Source organism: Homo sapiens, chromosome 12 (assembly GCF_000001405.40).
Source record: "Homo sapiens chromosome 12, GRCh38.p14 Primary Assembly".
Taxonomy (NCBI): domain Eukaryota; kingdom Metazoa; phylum Chordata; class Mammalia; order Primates; family Hominidae; genus Homo; species Homo sapiens.
In genome coordinates, this window is record NC_000012.12 from 101,658,171 (window position 1) to 101,678,250 (window position 20,080).

The 20,080-nt window shown below is 40.1% G+C and overlaps 1 protein-coding gene and 1 long non-coding RNA gene across 33 annotated transcripts in view; one reads left to right on the top strand and one right to left on the bottom strand.

The window, feature by feature from the left end:
* The window catches only part of MYBPC1 (myosin binding protein C1), a 100,871-nt gene that overhangs the window by 63,200 nt on the left and 17,591 nt on the right, over nt 1–20,080 (top strand). For 19 of the 31 annotated variants that reach the window (NM_002465.4, XM_017019318.3, XM_005268876.5 and 16 more), the window contains 10 exons: nt 1,502–1,661; nt 2,988–3,092; nt 4,188–4,376; nt 5,256–5,390; nt 9,562–9,729; nt 12,151–12,239; nt 15,257–15,452; nt 17,122–17,261; nt 19,065–19,224; nt 19,932–20,068. In NM_002465.4, coding sequence (NP_002456.2) covers nt 1,502–1,661; nt 2,988–3,092; nt 4,188–4,376; nt 5,256–5,390; nt 9,562–9,729; nt 12,151–12,239; nt 15,257–15,452; nt 17,122–17,261; nt 19,065–19,224; nt 19,932–20,068 — 1,479 coding nt within the window. Of the gene's footprint in view, nt 1–1,501; nt 1,662–2,987; nt 3,093–4,187; nt 4,377–5,255; nt 5,391–8,573; nt 8,628–9,561; nt 9,730–12,150; nt 12,240–15,256; nt 15,453–17,121; nt 17,262–19,064; nt 19,225–19,931; nt 20,069–20,080 lie in introns of all 31 variants that reach the window. The other 12 variants (XM_017019316.2, XM_006719406.5, XM_006719410.5 and 9 more) reach the window with 1 other exon arrangement.
* LOC124902996 (uncharacterized) lies at nt 1,544–6,199 on the bottom strand. 2 transcript variants are annotated; one of them, XR_007063422.1, is made up of 3 exons: nt 6,116–6,199; nt 2,146–2,225; nt 1,544–1,799 (listed from the first exon to the last, which is right to left on the bottom strand). It is a non-coding gene; the product is annotated as an uncharacterized LOC124902996 (long non-coding RNA). The 2 variants fall into 2 exon arrangements; XR_007063423.1 differs by having other exon boundaries at nt 1,650–1,799; nt 2,146–2,238.

Genomic DNA, 20,080 nt, shown 5'->3' on the forward strand with positions numbered 1-20,080 from the left:
GTATGAAAAGAATTATACACCAAGACCAAGTGAAACTCACTCTAGGTATGCAATGCTGGCTCAAAATTTGAAAATCAATTAATGTAATCCACTACATCAACAGGCTAAAGGAGAAAAGTAACATGATTATATCAACCGATGCAGAAAGAATCTTTGACAAAATGCATGAAGAAAACTCTCAGCAAAATAGAAATAGAGGGAAATGTATTCAATCTGATAAAAAAAAAAAAATCTACCGTAAAAAGAAAAACCCAACAGCTAAAGTTATACTTAACAGTGAGAAACTTGACGCTTTCCTACCAAGATCAGAAATAATGCAAGAGTATCCTCCTGTCACCACTGCTTTTTAACATTTTACTGGAAGGCTTAGCTAATGCAATAAAAGAAAAAAAGGGTATACAAATTGGGAAAGAAGAAATAAAATGGTCTTTGTTCACAGATGACATGGTTGTGTAGAAAATCTAAAAGAATTGATACAAAGGAGATGGATTAGCTTTGGGAGGGAGAAAAATAAAAAATAAATAAAAACAAAAGAGAACATCTATTAAAATCTTACATTAGAATTTGGCTGATATGAGGAAATTTTGTTCTATTACAAAATGGAAGAATTAGAGAATTATTTCAGGTATTCTTACTGTGATCACAATCTCAGGTTATTGAAGACTTATGAGTCCTGATACAGACACAAAAGAGTAGAGAGTTTACCTAGTATTTAGTGGCAAATAACCAGTTTCTAAATTACTTTGACCTTCTCTGTTTTTCCTCTTTGTATATTGGCTATTGATTGTCTTATAGAAGATACAACCTGGGAATCAGAAAAATGTAATCCTGCTTTAAATTTCAGGTTTAAGAAAGAAGAAAAAAAGTGAAAAAAAAGAAGAAGAAAATAAAAGAAAGAAAATATAATAGGAGGCTCAACCTCGCTCTGTCTTTACTTTGGGAATTAGATGTGCATTCTTTTATGTTTTTACTAGAAAAAGAAAATGGAAAATTGGCCTTGCAGCCTTCTTCAATCCTTTTCGGTATTTTAAAATTTTCCAAACATCTAAGAAAATGAACAAATCATTATTTAGTTTCTGATAGGAGTTTGAGGGTTTCTAATTTCATACACAGGGATTCCTCTCCTAGAATGACATGTCTGCACTTGTATTTTTAGTCCTCCAATTTTCTCTTGGGAAAGTTGGTGGCTAGTGGGCTTTGGGATCAAATCCCATTTCTGCTACTTCCTACCTGTGTGACCTTGAGCAAGATGAGTCTCAGTTTCTTTATGTGTAAGATGGTATAATAATACCTTGTCATTAGAGTTGGGGGAGAATTAAACTGAGAAAACATATAATAGGCATGAACACTATATAGTTACACTATATAGTCCACCAAATACACTATATAATCTATACACTATACACTCTATAGTCTGCTGAATTGCTCAATTTATAGGAGACTCTGAAGTAGCCCTGTTTATTGTGTAAATCATGCCACATTTTGTTTCTCCACTTCTTAGGCTATTATGGAAGGCAGTGGCCGGATAAGAACAGAATCTTACCCTGATAGCAGCACTCTGGTCATTGATATAGCTGAAAGAGATGACTCTGGTGTTTACCACATCAATCTGAAAAACGAAGCTGGAGAGGCACATGCAAGCATCAAGGTTAAAGTTGTGGGTAAGTCCTCCAGGTAAACGCACTTCTAGAATCAAGCTGACATGTCAAGATTCAGAGTAGACTTTCCTTCTTTGTCCTTTCCTTCCATTTCCTTCCTTTGTCTTTCCCTTATCTTCTTTTTTTTTCTTGCCTAGAGGACTTATCATTGGAGAAAGAAGAGCTAAGGTCAGCCATTTGGGGTTGCTGGTCATTAGCTCTCCAAAGTCATATTCCCTTTTGGTGCCCTTTAAACATCACTGAAACACAATTGCTAAATAACTTCCCACATCACAATCATTACAGAGGGATTAGATCTGCCTTGTCCTTAGACAACTATCGAAGTGCATTTTTCCTAAGCCCAAAGCTGAATAAAATGAGTCTAGCAGATTACTACTGTTCCAAGGTCTGATGCTCTCCTCTTCTTACTTTAGTTTCTCCTTAAATGACATATTTCAAATTGACCAAAAACTGAGGTCATTTTTATCAGACACTGAACTATACTTACAAGATATTGTGACTCGCCATTTTTGACTTGGATTTCTACCAGCCAACATCTTGAGTCTTGTAAAACTCTTTGATTCAGTTCTGCGGAAGTTCACTTTGTAGTTAAAAACAACAACCACAACAACCATATTCAACATTTAGACAATAATTTCTTGGTTAACATTTTCAAGGTAAGGAATGAGAGTCTTGGGTTTCATATGGGGCTTATTCTGTAATGTTGGGACACGGGTTTAAGGGATTTGGAGACATCATTATTTTTATTTCGGGCAAGGGGTGGGCTCATCTTCCCTTATCCCATATTGAGCACAAATTTTTGCCCAAATTAATTACTAACTTGTATGAGTCTGTTTTCACGTTGCTGATAAAGGCCTACTAGAGACTGGGTAATTTATAAAGAAAAAGAGGTTTAATGGACTCACAGTTCCTTGTAGCTGGGGAGGCCTCACAATCATGGTGGAAGGTGAAAGCCATGTCTTCCATGGCAGCAGACAAGAGAGAGAGAATGAGAACCAAGCCAGAGGGGTTTCCCCTTACAAAACCATCAGATCCCTTGAGACTTACTCACTACCACGAGAACAGTATGTGGGAAACTGCCCCTGTGATTCAATTCTCTCCCACCAGGTCCCTCCCACAACATGTGGGAATTATGGGAGCTACAGTTCAAGATGAGATTTGGATGGGGACACAGCCAAACCATATCATAAGCATAATTCAGTAAACATGGGAAAGTACTCAGAAATAACAGTTTCAATGATTATCACCAAGAAACATATTTTCCTATTAACTTTTTTTTTCTACTCCCTCTTCCTTATTTTACTTTATCCTATTTTTTGTCTGCCACAGACTTCCCTGATCCTCCAGTGGCACCGACTGTGACAGAGGTGGGAGATGACTGGTGTATCATGAACTGGGAGCCTCCTGCCTACGACGGAGGCTCTCCAATCCTAGGTAACTGCATGTTGGTTAGTCTGTGTAACTGCCAGTACAGTTGTGTCCTCTTTACGCATCTTAGTACAGAGCACATTTTAAAGTATTGCATTTAGAAGAAAACCTATTTTACTGTGACTTTATGCATTCAAAATGAAATATATATGTTGAGATGCTCTGTAATTACTCGAGATTTAAATAGCTCTGATGAATATCATCTGATTGCTGGTTTCTTTTTTTGTTTGACATTTATACACACTAATTTTGAAGCAACTATAAGCCCAACTTCCACCATCCTAGCCAGTGAACGTCTGATTCTACATGATTTTGTCTATGAAGAAATTTATTTTAGAATTAAATAATTAGGCTGAGCATTGTGGCTCATACCTGTAATCCCAGCACTTTGGGAGGCCTAGGTGGGTGGATCACTTGAAGCTAGGAATTCGAGACCAGTCTGGCCAACATGGTAAAACCCCACCTCTATTAAAAATACAAAAATTAGCCGGGCATGGTGGTGCGCACCTGTGGTCCCAGCTACTCGCTACTCAGGAGGCTGAGGTGGGAGGATCACTTGGGCCCTGGGGCGTGGAGGTTGCAGTGAGCCAAGATCACACCACTGCACTCCAGCCTGGGCAACAGAGTGAGACTCTGTCTCAAAAAAAAAAAAAAAAAAAGAAAGAAAAAATATTTAAATGCTTAGAAGCATTTGCTTCCCCTATGCCATGAGAATTTTTTCTCTTTGCTAATAATGAGACTCACAAAACTGGTCATTTCCCTCTTCTTATCTTCCTTGCTGGGACTCAGAGTCAACTACATTGCCTCTGATTATATTGTTCACCTACAGTGACTAAGTTGCTATGGCTGACTTAACTGTGATCCATTTTTCTTCTCTTTGTAGTATAATTTTAATTTCTTAGTCCCATTATTTTCATCTATATTTTATATTAATATTTCTATTCTCTTGGAATAAGATAGGTTAAAAATATTTACATACATATATGACTATTTCACATAGATTGATGACAAAATGCAAAATTTTAAGGACTTCTATTATCTGACAATGTTTAATTTCAGAGACCAAGGAAAAACCTTAGTTTTCATTTTGCATACCTGCAGGATATTTTATTGAGAGGAAGAAGAAACAAAGCTCCAGGTGGATGAGGCTGAATTTTGATCTCTGCAAAGAAACAACTTTTGAGCCCAAGAAGATGATTGAAGGTGTGGCCTATGAGGTCCGCATCTTTGCAGTCAATGCCATTGGCATCTCCAAGCCCAGTATGCCCTCCAGGCCTTTTGTTCCTTTGGGTAAGTCAAGAGAGATGAGTCTTTGTCATCAGAATCATTGCCCCAGAGTATGACTGCTTTCTCTCTGATCCCTAACTGGAACAGGCCTGGACACTTCTTAGAGTTGTAGGTGGGCAGGAGCTTGAAACAGTTAGGTACAATTTTATGTCTAAGAAATTAAAAAGTAGGTTTGGTCAAGTTGAATAACTTCATAACATAGGCCCTGGAATTCGTTACCATAATTCCAGTGCCAACTGTGGGTGGCTCTGATTGCCATTCCCCACTGAAAACATATTGCTGAGTCCATGGACATGTGAGTACTTTCCATTTGCCCTTCTGAAGGTATTAACCTGTTAATATAACCCAGCTTAGTGTAAACAACTATCACTGAAACAAATTGAGATCGGTTCAACAGGCTACACTTGGAAACTGGTTTCTTTGCTTTATGGTCACACCTTAAATGTTATCTATTAAATCAAAAAAGTTAGTTCAGTGAAGGCAAAAAAAAAAGATATCTCCATTATTTTATGGCAATGAGGTATTTTTTTCAATGGAAAAAAATGTAATACAAGTTTGCACTTGGAAATTAGAGAGCAATGGGAAAATTACTCTAGATCATTAGATCCCAAACCTTGCCTTCTTCAACTTCTTTGGGCCTCCCAGCTTCCCACACCGGCTTCTCAATTTGGAAAAAAATCCATGACAGCATTTCCAAAATTCTCACATTGATCAGCTCTTTGCCTTACACACATCCATGCTCAAGGTGTCTTAACTGAATTTCATTAAGATGTAGGGCTTTTGTGTCTATTTTTATTTGTATCCCCATTGGTTTTATCACAGTTCCTGCACTATAGCTGTGTAGTAAATAGTTTATTCTTTTCTGTCTCTTTTATCTTTAAGCTGTAACAAGCCCTCCTACTCTTCTGACTGTGGACTCTGTCACTGACACGACTGTCACGATGAGGTGGCGCCCCCCAGACCACATTGGTGCAGCAGGTTTAGATGGCTATGTGCTAGAGTATTGCTTTGAAGGAAGTAAGTACAACCAGTAGATAAAATGAATACTGTCATCAATAGGTGAGATATGTCCCTCCCCTTTCTTTTGTCTCTCTTTCTTGAGAACGCATCACCTTCCTACGAAAATAAGATCAAGCCAAACGTCATCCTTCTGAGATGTATATAAACTAAGCCCTTTTTTAGTACTTGGTGCTTATAAATTGATATCTCAAAAGTATCTTGGCTAGGCTGCCAGATTGGACACTATAATTGAACTAAGAGATGGGAGGAAGAGATTGTAACAAAACTTTGGGGACTTCCACTTCTTAAACTGGTGGAATTGAATTGCACCACAGCAATATAAAAGTCTAGTTATGATGAAGCCAGTTGGAAATTCTAAAACCTATAATGAGCTGAAGTTAACTATCAAAAGAGTGACCTATTTTGGGTAATAAAGGGAGACTACATATTTGGCTAGTAATCATCACCTGCCTTCATCTAAAAATAAGATGAATTAAGAACTGCTCTTAGTTTTAAAGGAAGCAGCATTAAATCCTCGAGTGTATAAGAAATAAGTTCAATATGTAGCAGTAACTTATCTCAGGAGTTGGGGATATAAAACTGTAATCAGTTTAATTTAGGAGGGGAAGAGAAACAAGGCCATAAATTTTTAAAATCACTGATAGAAATAATAGAAAAAGAAAAAATGACAGAAGAAAATATGGGCCAGAATTACCTGAAAACCAAAAGAATGTGAAACTTACCAAAATCCTGTTGTGTTTCTTGGTTTCTTATTTGCCATAACTAGAAAGGGATGACATTTGAAAATGGCTCTGGACTTGGGTTCCATTCTAGATGCTGGTAGGTAAACAATCTCCCAGGAAACTTGTTCAAATTCCACAAACAGTGGCCCAAGACTTCACCTCCAGGAAAACTCTTTGGACACCAAACTTTAACACAGATCCTCGAAGTGAAGGAAGGAGGTTACGAAGCACATTTGGGAAATCAGGAATGTGAACGCAAATGCACCTCCCCTGGAGGAAACTCACTATGGAGATGAAACTTCCTATGAAGAGAAAACTGCTGAAAAAGAAATCCCAGGTGCCTGGATTGGGGCACCTGTGGAAATGCTCACCTCTGTTCTGGAGGGAGGAAGAGGAGAGGGACAATGAAGTATCCTGATACCCCTCAATCCCTCTTGCACCTACTCCACACACAGAGTCCTATAATTGGTTTCTCCAGGATTTAAAAAGCCACTAACCAAAAGCAGTGGAAACGTCAGAAATTTCCCAGGGTTAACCCAGTAAGGGAAGGGGATAGTGTCACTAATGCAACAAGTAAATTCTTGAGCACTTCAGTTTATTCCTCTTCCATCCTCCTGCCCCCATTTAAAAAAGTCATGAGCACTCCATTCTGTTTTTTTGTATTGTCCAGCCAGCAGAATATCCCAGTCTTATGTGTGATGTGGCCTTTGAGCATAAACCTTTTGTGTATGTATGAATCGAGCAAATTCTTTACTCTTTTCTTTCTGATAGGTTTAAAAAGTAAGAAGATACAGCAAAATGATAGATGGCTGTCATTTTGATGTTACCCACCTTAGATAAAATACAATGAAGTGTATTTTACAAAATTTTGCGTGTGGTCTGTGTAGATACATATGTATATCCGTATATACATATGTATATGTACACAGTCATTATTATGTATATATTTTGCCGAGTAACGTTCTGGAATTAGCTTTCTATGGGAGTTCTCTCACAACGTGTATCTCTTTCTTCTTGCAGTCTTTTCTTATTTTCTTTATGTGGCTGCCGACTCTTCATTCTCTTTTAATGGCTGTTGTCCTCCAGACTAATTTTCTATAGTGTTTAATGCTTTTAGAGACATCAGGTTTTATTCTGTAAGAGAATTCTTTGTTTTGTAAGATCGTGTGTTGTTTTGGACTCTGCCTTTCTCTCGTTTTTGTTTTGTTATTATTTTTTTAATGCCTGCAGCATTTTACTCTTCTTTGTTTTCTTTCTGCACTCTAGTTTTTTCTTTCCTTTCTTAAAAATTCTCCTCACATGTTAAATAACTTACATGTTCCTTCCTCATCCCCTGGGACACCATCTTCTTTGTCTGTGTTTCCCCAATTAAAGTGGTTCCAATGTGAAGAGATGGGCTATTTTTGTTCCCCCTCTGGTCTTGTTTCGTCCTGTTTTCTCTTGAAATTGTCTCTTTTACTAGTTCTTCACTCTTTTGTACATGTTTTCTGAGTCTCTTATTTTCACTTTCTCATCCACTGTCTCTTGACTATGAAAATACCAACACAGAAGCTCCCAAGCAGACCATTTGTTTAAAGATGTATCTCTTTTTCAAAGACATAAGGAATTTTTATTCTCCACATGCCTTACTAGCTGCCAGGATATTCTAGTTGCCTGTCCCTTCTCCTTGATACTCCTGTTAGGGTTAGAACAAGAGAGAGGCAAAAGTTCCAAGGGACAGCCAGTCCAGTCCCCAATGCCTCCACTCCTCTCCTGATACTGAGAAAGTCATCATCCCAAACCAGTGGGTATGCCCAAGACCACCCTGTGAGCCACCCATGCGGAACCCTGAGCAGGCTCAATTTGTTTTCTTGACAGAGTTCATTGTCATGGGAACCAGAACTGCCTCCTGAGCTGCTGGGGCAGCCTCCAATTCTATTCAGAACTTGGACCCTGGTAAAACAGGGCTGGCCTTATCCCAAGGGCCTGCACTCCCAGTCTTGAATGAGGGAGCCCCACTGTGGGAGCACCGTGTTCCCTGGGGACCCAAGAGAATCCTCCCCTGCTGGGGTGGCAGAGACAGGCACAAGGATAGACTGTCTCACTGTGCGCTGCTCCCCCGCAGATTCCAGGACCTGCTCCTCTGTTTTCTTCAGGGTCTTGCTTTGTTCTTCTCTATCTCTTCTTCCCACCACTGGAGGTGTCCCAGCCTCCTTTCTCCTCTTCTCTATTCTTTTCTTTTTTCTCCTCTTCTCTGTGGCAGGTGCCTCAGGTCAGAAGCCACAGTCTGCACAGAGCAGGCTGTGCTCTCCTGAGGAACCCCCCTAACACCGTTTGGTCTCTTCCGTCACTGCTCTGAGGACAAATCTCTTTGCACACTTTGCATACTTTACTAACAGAGAATGCTGACTGCTGATACGATATTATTCTGGTGTGAAAGTGGGTGTCTTTAATTAATTTTAATGACGGATTCTCAAAGGTACATCAGCAAAACAGTCTGATGAAAATGGGGAGGCTGCCTATGATCTGCCAGGTAAAGTATTCCGTGAAGCTCTCAAATTTTCTTACTATATTATAATGTTTCTGGGAATATTGAATGACCAAGCATGAAGAATACTCATCACATACATACACACACACACACACACACACACACACACACACATACACACACACACATCCTTAGAGATGGGGGAGAGGGAGCAGTGAGTTAATAATGTGGGATCAAAGTCTTCTTTCTTTCTGTGGGCAAAATGCATACTAACTTTTAGATGCTGAAACATTTGTAAGCCCTGAATGCTGGGTTAAAATTCTCTCGATGTGATACACAAGCTGCCAAAAACTTTTTAAAATTAGATTTTGGTTGCAAGGATAGAATTCTACCAACTCCTTATGAGGAATCAGCCCATGAACTGTTTTCTCTTTGTGAAATAAGCTTTTTCTCTTCATCAATGTGAATAAATATGATCAAGTTCCCTCTACCCATGTTAGTGTCTTACAATAGTAAATCAGCCAAGATAAAAACATATATATGACTATAAAGGTCAATGTCTCATTCATAAAGATAGCCTTTTCCTGTTTTTCTGAACTTTAATGTGTATAGATGACTAGCTATCATGATTGCATGAATCATTATAAAACCAAATTGGAATAAAACTGCTACAGAATTCTTGTGGACAGTTACTATTATTCAGGATGCTTTCATGCTGAATAAAGATTTTTCAGAAACAGCAGAATCTTATAGTTTATTTTTCCTGTTATTTATGTTAGCTATTTTAGGCTGTTTTTTATTTAATATATGAAAAATGTCCACCCATGTAGTCGGAGTCCAGACCAAAGTCATAATGTCTCTAAATGATGTATTATTATGAGTAAAATACTAATTTGGAGTTGACTGTAATGGTTAAGATGATTTTTTTCACTAAACAGCATTCCTCCTTCTTTTCCTTTTCTTTTACGGACTTCAGCTGAGGACTGGATAGTTGCAAACAAAGATCTGATTGACAAGACGAAGTTCACCATCACAGGTCTGCCAACAGATGCAAAGATCTTTGTGCGTGTGAAGGCTGTTAATGCAGCTGGTGCCAGCGAGCCCAAGTACTATTCTCAGCCCATTCTCGTGAAGGAAATCATAGGTAGGAGACAAGGCTTTCAAAAGTTAGACTCCATTTTACATGGTTCACTTTTTTTTTCTTCAAACTACTTTCTTTCTCAAAACCTCCTATTTTGTTGTTACTCCTTTGATATTTTGTTAATGCTTTAATGCTTCCTAAGAGTTAGAACTTAATAAAGCAGCTCTCTTCAGGCAATGTGGGAGATCACCTTCAGGTTTATCTTGGTACTCTGAGGACCAGTTAGTTAACCTCTCCTGGTTCCAGGAGCCAACTCTGGCTGGGCTGCCTATTTACAGTGGAGAGAGAGTATGTTCATACAACCATGCAAACAATCCCTACGACAACCATATGCCTCCAATGAATCTGCAGGGTCAGAACTATTTTCATAATATTATGAAAATATTATGTGTACCTTTCAGTGTTTTGACATCTTCACTGATAGTATAAAAATGAAGGTGAGTAAAACTGTTGATACCTTAGTATGAAATCAAGTCAGTGCCACGGAGCCATACTAGCCAGCCTTGCCTTCCTCACCACCATGCACTCAACAGATGAAATAAAAGGGCCAGTTTTGCCTTAGAGTCTCTTTTTTTTATTTTTGAGATGGAGTTTTGCTCTTGTTGCCCAGGCTGGAGTGCAATGGCACAATCTTGGCCACTGCAACCTCTGCCTCCCGGGTTCAAGCAATTCTTCTGCCTCAGCCTCCCAAGTAGTTGGGATTATAGACATGCACCACTACGCCTGGCTAATTTTTTTGGTATTTTTTAGTAGAGACAGGGTTTCACCATGTTGGTCAGGCTGGTCTCGAACTCCTGACCTCAAGTGATCCACCTGCCTCAGCCTCCCAAAGTGCTGGGATTACAGGCGTGAGCCACCACGCCTGGCCCTTAGAGTGTTCTTAATGAAGCATAAAAATAATTAATTTTGGCTGAGCACAATGCCTCATGCCTGTAATTCCAGTATTTTGGGAGGCTGAGGCGGGCAGATCACTTAAGCCCAGGAGTTTGAGACCAGCCTGGGGAACATGGCAAAACCACGTCTTTACTAAAAATACAAAAATTTGCTGGGTGTGGTGGCACACGCCTGTGGTCCCAGCTACTCAGGAGGCTGAGGTGGGAGAATCACTTGAACCCAGGAGGCGGAGGCTGCAGTGAGCCAAGATCACGCCACTGCACTTCAGCCTGGGTGACAGAGCAAGACCTTGTCTCAAATAAAACAAAACAAGAATAAGAATAATAACTTTCATCAAATCTTGGCTCTTGAGTATGTTTTTTTTCTAGACTTGTGTGACAATGAAATGCAAAGTATGTCTGAAGTACTTAGGCTGCACACTGCAGTACAATGGTTGTCCCCAGGAAAAGCACCGTACAACTGAGTTGGAGGATGAATAGGTGACTTTTTTGCACAGAAGCTCCACTTTTACTTGGGGAAATAAGTAAGAAGAACTGCTTCATCCCTGTGAGCCTATGAGCCTTTGACTCCCTGCTCCTGATGGATTTGCAGTGACATGCTCTAGTATCTTCATGATGTTTAATTAATGAATATTAATACACAGTGGGCCAGGGTTGCCTATTATGTACTTCACCACAGTCACACAGGGAGAAAGTTACTGTCGAACTCCAACAGAGTCACCTAAATAGCAAGTGCTGGGTGCTAACATTTTGTTTTTTTCTGGTAAGGAAGAATGGACAGTCCTCCCAGCTAATGTGGTGCCTATAGATCTTTCGTGGAATGTTCCCTTGCAAATATACTCACTGTTAGAAACTATGAATAACTGGCCAGACGCGGTGGCTCATGCCGGTAATCCCAGCACTTTGGGAGACTAAGGCAGGTGGATCACCTGAGGTCACAAGTTTGAGACTAGCCTGGCCAACATGGCAAAATCCCATCTCTACTAAAAATACAAAAATTAGCCAGGCGTGGTGGCATGTGCCTGTAGTCTCAGCTACTTGGGAGGCTGAGACATGAGAATCGCTTGAACCCAGGAGGCGGAGGTTGCAGTGAGCAATGCCACTGCACTCCAGCCTGGGCGACAGAGAGAGACTCTCTGAAAAAAAAAAAGAAAAAAAAAAAGAAACTATGAAAAGTATGCATAGTATGTATAAGGCCCTAAGAGAAAATGTATTTTTCTATAAAGTTGCTTTAGGCTTATTACAACAATAAAAATACAAAGTTGCAATAAAGCCAAGGATGTCAGGGATAAATTTTGCTGAGTCAAACTGTTAAAACATCTCTGTGTGGAAACCACACACACACACACACACACACACACACACATTTTGAACCAGTTACTATATATCGTCTGTTAGTGGCACATCTCAGAGTTTATTGCAGAGATATGCCACAAGGGTACGCTGGTGAGCATCATGCCATTTTGCTTTTGTAAGGCTATTTTCAGACACCAGACTGATTGCAAAATTGTGCTATTTTACCCTCTCTCAGAACCTCCAAAGATTCGCATTCCAAGACACCTGAAGCAAACCTATATCCGCAGAGTTGGAGAAGCTGTCAATCTGGTTATACCTTTCCAGGTAAGAGTTCAAGGGTCGCTCTTTTTCTCTTTAGAGGGCTGGATTAGTTTAGGAAGTGGGAAGAGGTACTCTAGCATTTAAGTTCATCATGATTCAGGATTTCCTCAGAGGGAGAGGAGGTAAATAAAGAATGAAAGAGTATTGGAGAATGATTAAGCAATCTCCTGCTGTCAAAATAGAGAAATCTATAGAAACCATCACAGATTTTCTTTCTGCATGAGACAAATGAGATATAGTCTTGCCTGAAGCTCAGCGACTATGGTGGGCAGGGAAGAAACATCAAGGAGATACCAAATGAAGAAATGCTTGAAGACTCTTTTGGTCCTATACGTTTGTAAAACCCATCATTTTAAGTGAAGCTCTCAGTGTAACATTCAGGAAAACAGTGTGTGCTTAGTTCCCACAATGACCCCAAACCAAAATAATTTCAATAAGGGGGACAACTGAAATTTGAAATAACGATGACACTAACTGAAATATATGAACAATATTAAATCATTGTTCCAGCAAAAGAATCTGTTCTTCACAAAATTCACTAGTCTTTACTTACAATAGTCAATTTTGGTCTTATACAAATACACACACACACCCTGCACCTCCCAACCCTTACTCTCCAACTCCCTATTCATATGACACCTCCAGACAGTGCTGTTCAATAGAACTTTCTTCAATGTTAGAAATGTTCTATATCAATGCTGTCCAATATGGTAGCCACTAGCCACATGTGGCTGTTGAGCACTTGAAACGTGTAACTAGGAACTAGTGTGACTGGAGAAATAAATTTTTAATTTTCTTCAATTTTAATTAATTTTAATTTAAATAGCCACGTGTACCTTGTGGCTATCGTATCAGCCAGCCTGGCCTTAGAATGTAGGTCTCTACACACATTTGACACTCATATACACACACACACACACACACACACACACTCACACACACACACTCACACATGCACACATGCACACACAGAGAGAACTCTGTTCAAACCCAGGCTCCCATGAAACCAAACTAAAGGGATGGCCAATTCAGGCCATCCTCATTGCACTCCGGGTGCAAACCTAAGGAGAGACATTGTGTACTACATACCCCCGGCATGAAATCAGAATGAAAGCCAAGGAGGAAGTGAAGCAGAACACAGCCCAGGAGGAAGTGGGTGGCTTGGCAAGGTTCTTCTCACTTTCCTTCTCTTGCAGCATCAAATAAAACCAGAAGTGGCAACAAGGCAGGTATTGGGGACCCAGCCCCAACCCTGCACTGGGGCTGCTGAGTCAGCCCTCAAGCCTCCACATCGTTCCTGCCACCACAACTAATCCCAGTTCCCAGATCTGGGGGTCTGCGTGTTCAGCTTCTGTCACTGAGTCTGAGAGAGAAAAAATCATGAGAACAGGGACCGCATAGATCTGGCATCCCAGAGACTGTTCAGCCCCCAGGAAGGGAGATGAGACCAAAGTGTGATGTTTGTATATTTGTGTAATCTCTAGAGTTCGCAAACATTTTCTCATTTGATCCTCAGAAACACCCTGTGAGGCAGGAAGGCCAGATTTCCTTACCTTGCTTGAGAAGGGAAGAAACTGAAAGGGAAGTTAAGTGACTTGCCCAATGTCACACAGAAAGTCAATGGTAGGGCCAAGAACAGAGTCCATGGCCCGGTCACTTAATTCAGTGGTTTTTTCCACTCTGTATATTATTAGAGAACCCACATTTTTCCCTAGTGGCTAACAGCAAGTTGTACATTTAAGGAAATAAGCTTGAACTGTTTTTCCCTATCTTCAACAACGTCGTTCTCTGCTTCCCATGTGTGAGTCTGAGCATCCCCAACCACTCTTCAGGCTCTGAAGCAGGGGTTTGGTGTGTAGCTCTACATCTCTTATTATAACCTAGCCATGTTCAGAGCCCACAGGAAAGCTGTGCCTTACCTGACAGAATTCATGCTTGGTTCCTGTCTGCCAGGGTACGCCTGGATGCTTGGGGATTCTAGGAAATTCCTTTGTAATAGAAATGGAAACTCAGGTTCATGAATGGGATTATGATTTCTTAAATTCTGCTCTTAAAGAATAGTTTCAACAGCGAGAGGGAACAGAGAGAGAATTCTAGACAAGTCTAAAATGAGCAGCACAGGACAGTAGAATAGTAATCATTAACATTTAGATGATATTGGCCGGGCACGGTGGCTCACACCCATAATCCCAGCACTTTGGAAGGCTGAGGCGTGTGAATCACATGAGGTCAGGAGTTCAAGACCAGCCTGGCCAACTTGGTGAAACCCTGTTTCTACTAACAACTAAAAAAATTAGCCAAGCATGGTGGTGCGTGCCTGTAAACCCAAGTACTTGGGAGGGTGAGCAGGAGAATCCCTTGAACCCAGGAGGTGGAGGTTGCAGTGAGCCAAGATTGTGCCACTGCACTCCAGCCTGGGCGACAAGAGCCAAACTCTGTCAAAAAAAAAAATTTAGATGATATTAACTACAAAAACTTATGTATTGGGCAGAAGCTTTCTCAGCACTTTAATCTTTATAACCACTCTTTGAGATAGGTACTACCATTATTCCCGTTGAGGCACAGAAAGCTTAGTAACTTGCCCAGGGTCACACAGACGTTAAGTGGTCAGGAGCTAGACATAGATTCCAGGGCCCCAGAGCCCATGCTCTTAACAATTATCCTGTGTTGTGCAGGCTTTTGGAGACTAGGAGACCCAGCTGGGAGACCTGGTTCCAGTGCTTACCTAACTGCAGGACCTTGGACAAATTATTTAACTTCTCTATCCAAAAAATGAGGATAATGATAAGCTTGATGTGAAGATTAAGGAAAATAATCAATGTTATGTACCTAAGGTAGTGCCTTGCACATAAAATACAGATTACAGCTTTGCTGCTGTAATTGCTCACCACCAGACTAGAAGGGTGGTATTTTCCAGCCCTGCCTAGAATGGGTTAAGCCACTGTCCTTCTCATAATGCTGAAGAAACATCTTGAGACAATATGATTTACCCTCTCTACTTTTGCTGTCTTTCTTTTTAGGGAAAACCAAGACCAGAATTAACTTGGAAGAAGGATGGTGCAGAAATTGATAAGAATCAAATAAACATTCGCAACTCTGAGACTGATACAATCATATTTATTAGAAAAGCAGAGAGGAGCCACTCTGGGAAATATGATCTGCAAGTCAAAGTGGACAAATTCGTGGAGACCGCATCAATTGACATCCAGATCATTGGTAGGTTTAGATGAAGGAGCCAGAAAGTTCTGTCAAAGCAGTACAGGGATGAATTGTCCTTGTCCCTAAGGCAAGAGCAGGAGTTTTGTTAGGCTGGCTCTACATAAAACTCTTTTTTTAGATTTATTTTTTAAAAATAGATAAATTAGGCTGGGCGTGGTAGCTTACACCTGTAATCCCAGTACTTTGGGAGGCCAACGTAGGCGGATCACTTGGGGTCAGGAGTTCAAGACCAGCCTGGCCAACATTGTGAAGCCCCGTCTCTACTAAAAATACAAAAAGTAGCTGGGCATGGTGGCGTGCACCTGTAATCCCAGCTACTCAGGAAACTGAGGCAGGAGAATCGCTTGAACCTGGGAGGTGGAAGTTGCAGTGAGCTGAGATCATGCCACTGCACTCTAGCCTGGGTGACAGAGTGAGACTCTGTCTCCAAAAAAAGGACAGTAAGATTTGTTACCATTTCAAAATGAATTCTCACCAACTCAAAGGACTAATCACAGGAGATTTAAGGCATATATGTTCAAGAAAATTAATGGATGTGCTTTTTAGTGAAATCCTTCTGCACTATTCTATAACCCAGCTGTCTCTTTCTCTTAGTTTCTCATCTCCCTGATGATAAAATTATTTCTTATGTTGAATTCTTACATTCTAGACAGTATAGATTCTAGCTATAGTTTAACATGTTTCTTACTACACCTAAAATTTGCTAATGAAGTTTTCATGGAGAATGAAGAATTTTTTTTAATATTAATATAAGGAAGATGTACCTAAGCAAAATTGAACAGTTAAATACTGAATTCTTTGATCCTGCCAGAGTAGTTAGATACGTACCTGCCCAAAAAATAAATAAGGTTAGTTCTTACTTCTGTCCAGAGTCAGGGGAATAGAGGAAGGACCCCTTGTGGATAGACTCCTCTCACTTAAATTATACTGTAATTTTTGCAACGTCAAGAAATAAATTTAAGGCCGGGTGTGGTGGCTCACACCTGTAATACCAGCACTTTGGGAGGTGGGCAGATCACTTGGGGCCAGGAGTTTGAGACAAGCCTGGACAATATGGTAAAAACCTGTCTGTACTAAAAATGCAAAAATTAGCCAGACATTGTGGCACACACTTGTGGTCCCAGCTACTTGGGAGGCTGAGGCATGAAAATCGCTTGAACCTGGGAGGAGGAGACTGCTGTGAGCCAAGATTTCACCACTGCACTCAGCCTGGGTGACAGACCATGACTCTGTCTCCAAAAAAAAAAAAAAAAAAAAAAGGAAAGAAAGAAATTTAAGAGCAGAGCTAGAAAAACGTTGTTTCCAATCATTGTTATCATTGTATTTCAGTAAATTTGCTGAAAGTTGCTCTAACCAAAGGGGCAACTTCCTGTAACAGCCTCCCTTAAAGGGTCATTCCCTTTAAACTAAGCACTCTTTCCCCACTGGCTAATCCGTTTTGAGTTTTGTTAAGTTGCAGGGAGTGTTGAGGCTGCTCTGTGCCCTTTGATCTGGCCTGGCTCCATACTACTGGAAGGCAAAGGGTCTCAGAAGCCCCCATGGTAGGGTCTAGAAGAGTGATGCCTCCTGTAACAGAGGAAAGGGTCTTTTAAAATATCCTCATGAAACAAAATGTAGACTGGGAAAGAAAGTGACCTTGCAGTGACACCATGAATTCATCCTGTAGACCGTCCAGGTCCACCCCAAATTGTGAAGATTGAGGATGTCTGGGGAGAAAATGTCGCTCTCACATGGACTCCACCAAAGGATGATGGAAATGCTGCTATCACAGGCTATACCATTCAGAAGGCTGACAAGAAGAGCATGGTAAGGTCTGGCTTTCTCTGGTTCATCAGTAGCAAAAGGCACATTTCATCAGAGGTAAAGGAGATGGCACAAGGGCCTCACTGGTAAGGAGCCAACTGGGGCTATGGAGAAGTGATGTGGCAGAGCAGAAAGGAAAAGACCTGTGGAGCCACAGAGCTGGTCTTAAACCCCAGCATTGCTACTTAAGACCACATGTATAAGGACCACACGTGACCACAATCACTTGAGCTCTTTGATCTCTATTTTCCTCATCTATGTAATGGGGGCACAAATATCCCTTGCTTGATTATTACAAAGCTAAAATGATATAAAGCAACTGGTTCAATGTTCAGTAGAATTCAATAAACTCATTCATTCAACAAATATTTGCTCAAGACTTTGACTCAGATTTACACCCATGCAACTCTTTCTCCTTGTGAAATAAATGTTGGATACTGTGCACTTATGTCTACAAAAAAGTAAAAAGACAGACACCAGTTAGAACAGAAAGATTCTACAAGGTTACAGCATGTGCAAATGCGGAAAGGTCTGGAGAAAAAGAGCTTAATGCAAACTTGTCCAACCCGTGGCCCACAGGCCTCATGCAACCCAGGATGGCTTTGAATGCAGCCCAACACATATTTGTAAACTTTCTTAAAACGTTATGAGTTTTTTTATGATTTTTTTTCAGCTCATCAGCTATCGTTAGCGTTAGTCTATTTTATGTGTGGCCCAAGACAATTCTTTTTCCAGGGAAGCCAAAAGATTGAAAACCCCTGGCTTAATGTGTTTAAAAAGCAACCTAGTTGGAGTATGACTTATTATAAACTTATTTTATAGATGAGGAAACTGAGGCTTGCAGAGGATAAATGACTTGCTAAAGATCACCAGATTTTCTCACGCCTGAAATCCCAGCTACTTGGGAGGCTGAGGCAGGAGAATTGCTTGAACTCGGAAGGTGGAGGTTGTAGTGAGCTGAGATTGTGCCACTGTACTGTAGCCAGGATGACAGAACAAGACTCCATCTCAAAAAGAAAAAACAGAACCAAAGTTAATAATATCAGCTGGGAGCAGTGGCTCATACCTGTAGTCCCAGCACTTTGGAAGGCTGAGGCAGGAGGATTGCTTGAGCCCAGGAGTTTGAGACCAGCCTGGACAACATAGGGAGACCTCCTCTCTCTAAAAAATAAATTAGCTGGGTGTGGTAGCACGTGCCTGTAGTCCCAGTTACTCGGGAGGCTGAGGTGAAAGGGTCTATTGAGCCCGGGAGGTCAAGACTATAGTAAGCCAAGATTGCATCACTGCACTCCAGCCTGGGTGACAGAGTGAGATCCTGTCTCAAAAAGAAAAAAAAAATAATAATGTTAAATAAATGTACTGGATATTACTAATGTTTCTCTAGTGATTTAGCTTCAGGTCTTTCTCATAATAAGTTGGCACTAAAATTCTGTAGTTATACTTTATTCTACAAAAGATAGCTAGGAAGACAAATAGGTAGGTAGACAGGTAGATAAATAGATGACAGACACCTAAAGGTTATGAAAAAATATAAAGATAGTAGATGGCAACTAGGGTATATGAATCTAATGTGTAAATGAAGATTAAATTACATAGTCAATTGCAAATAAGTTGTGAAATATTAAACAAAATATACATTGTTTCAACACATTTTAACAACATATATTATTACTCTCCATATAAAAATGAGTGGTCTTTTTTTCTTTTTGTTAATAAAGCATCCTTGTTATTTATCCCAATCTACAGTTAGAAAAATTGTATACTTTTAGGTGATTTTCCTCCAGTTATTATTTTTTTTTCTTTTAGGAATGGTTTACTGTCATTGAGCATTATCATCGAACCAGTGCCACCATTACTGAATTGGTCATAGGGAATGAATATTACTTCCGGGTCTTTTCTGAAAACATGTGTGGCCTCAGTGAGGATGCCACCATGACTAAAGAGAGTGCAGTGATCGCCAGGGATGGTGAGTTGGGAATGGACTGACATTTGAAAACCTTGGTTGACAGTGACCAGACAGAGAAGACTGGAAAAAGAGATGTGGTGAAAGGGAACAAAAAAATGGTAAATGTACATTGTAAAATTATGATAATGGTGTTCAAGTAAAATTTTAATTTTACAGGTAAAATTTAAGTGAAATTGTATTATTATTGCATTTTTTACAAATATAGGCTTTAATTAATTCCAGGTTCTAGGCAGTGGATCTATAAATGGCTAATACCCCAGAGGCTGGAAGAAGTAGACATTTTCTTCTAGAGTTTCTACTTTTATTCTTGGACACCTTTATTGTAGCTACACATGGGACCCACTCTGTGATAAAAGGAGAAACTAAATTCTATCCTTATCTTTTCTTTTCATCATAAACCACTCTTCTTAAAACCTTCCTTGTGTATTTTCACATTAGAACAAATTTCTATTCAAAATACTCAGAAAGACACCAAAGTCTTCTCAATATCTGGTTCAGTTTCAGATGACCCCTCTGGCTTTCTATCCCACGTGTGATTGGCTATACGTTTATACCCCTCAGAATGTTTGCCACATGGCATTTGCTCATCTTTGTCCATGTTTTTCTAAGTTCAGGGAAGTTTTAATCATGTGTAAAGTATGCCACCAATAATATATTCTCAGGCCAATTTACATAATTTTAACATATTTGTAATGCTTGTTTTTAAGGTAAAATCTACAAAAATCCAGTGTATGAAGACTTTGATTTCTCAGAGGCACCCATGTTTACTCAGCCTTTGGTTAACACCTATGCCATAGCTGGTTACAATGCCACCCTAAACTGCAGTGTGAGAGGAAATCCTAAGGTACCATGTTCT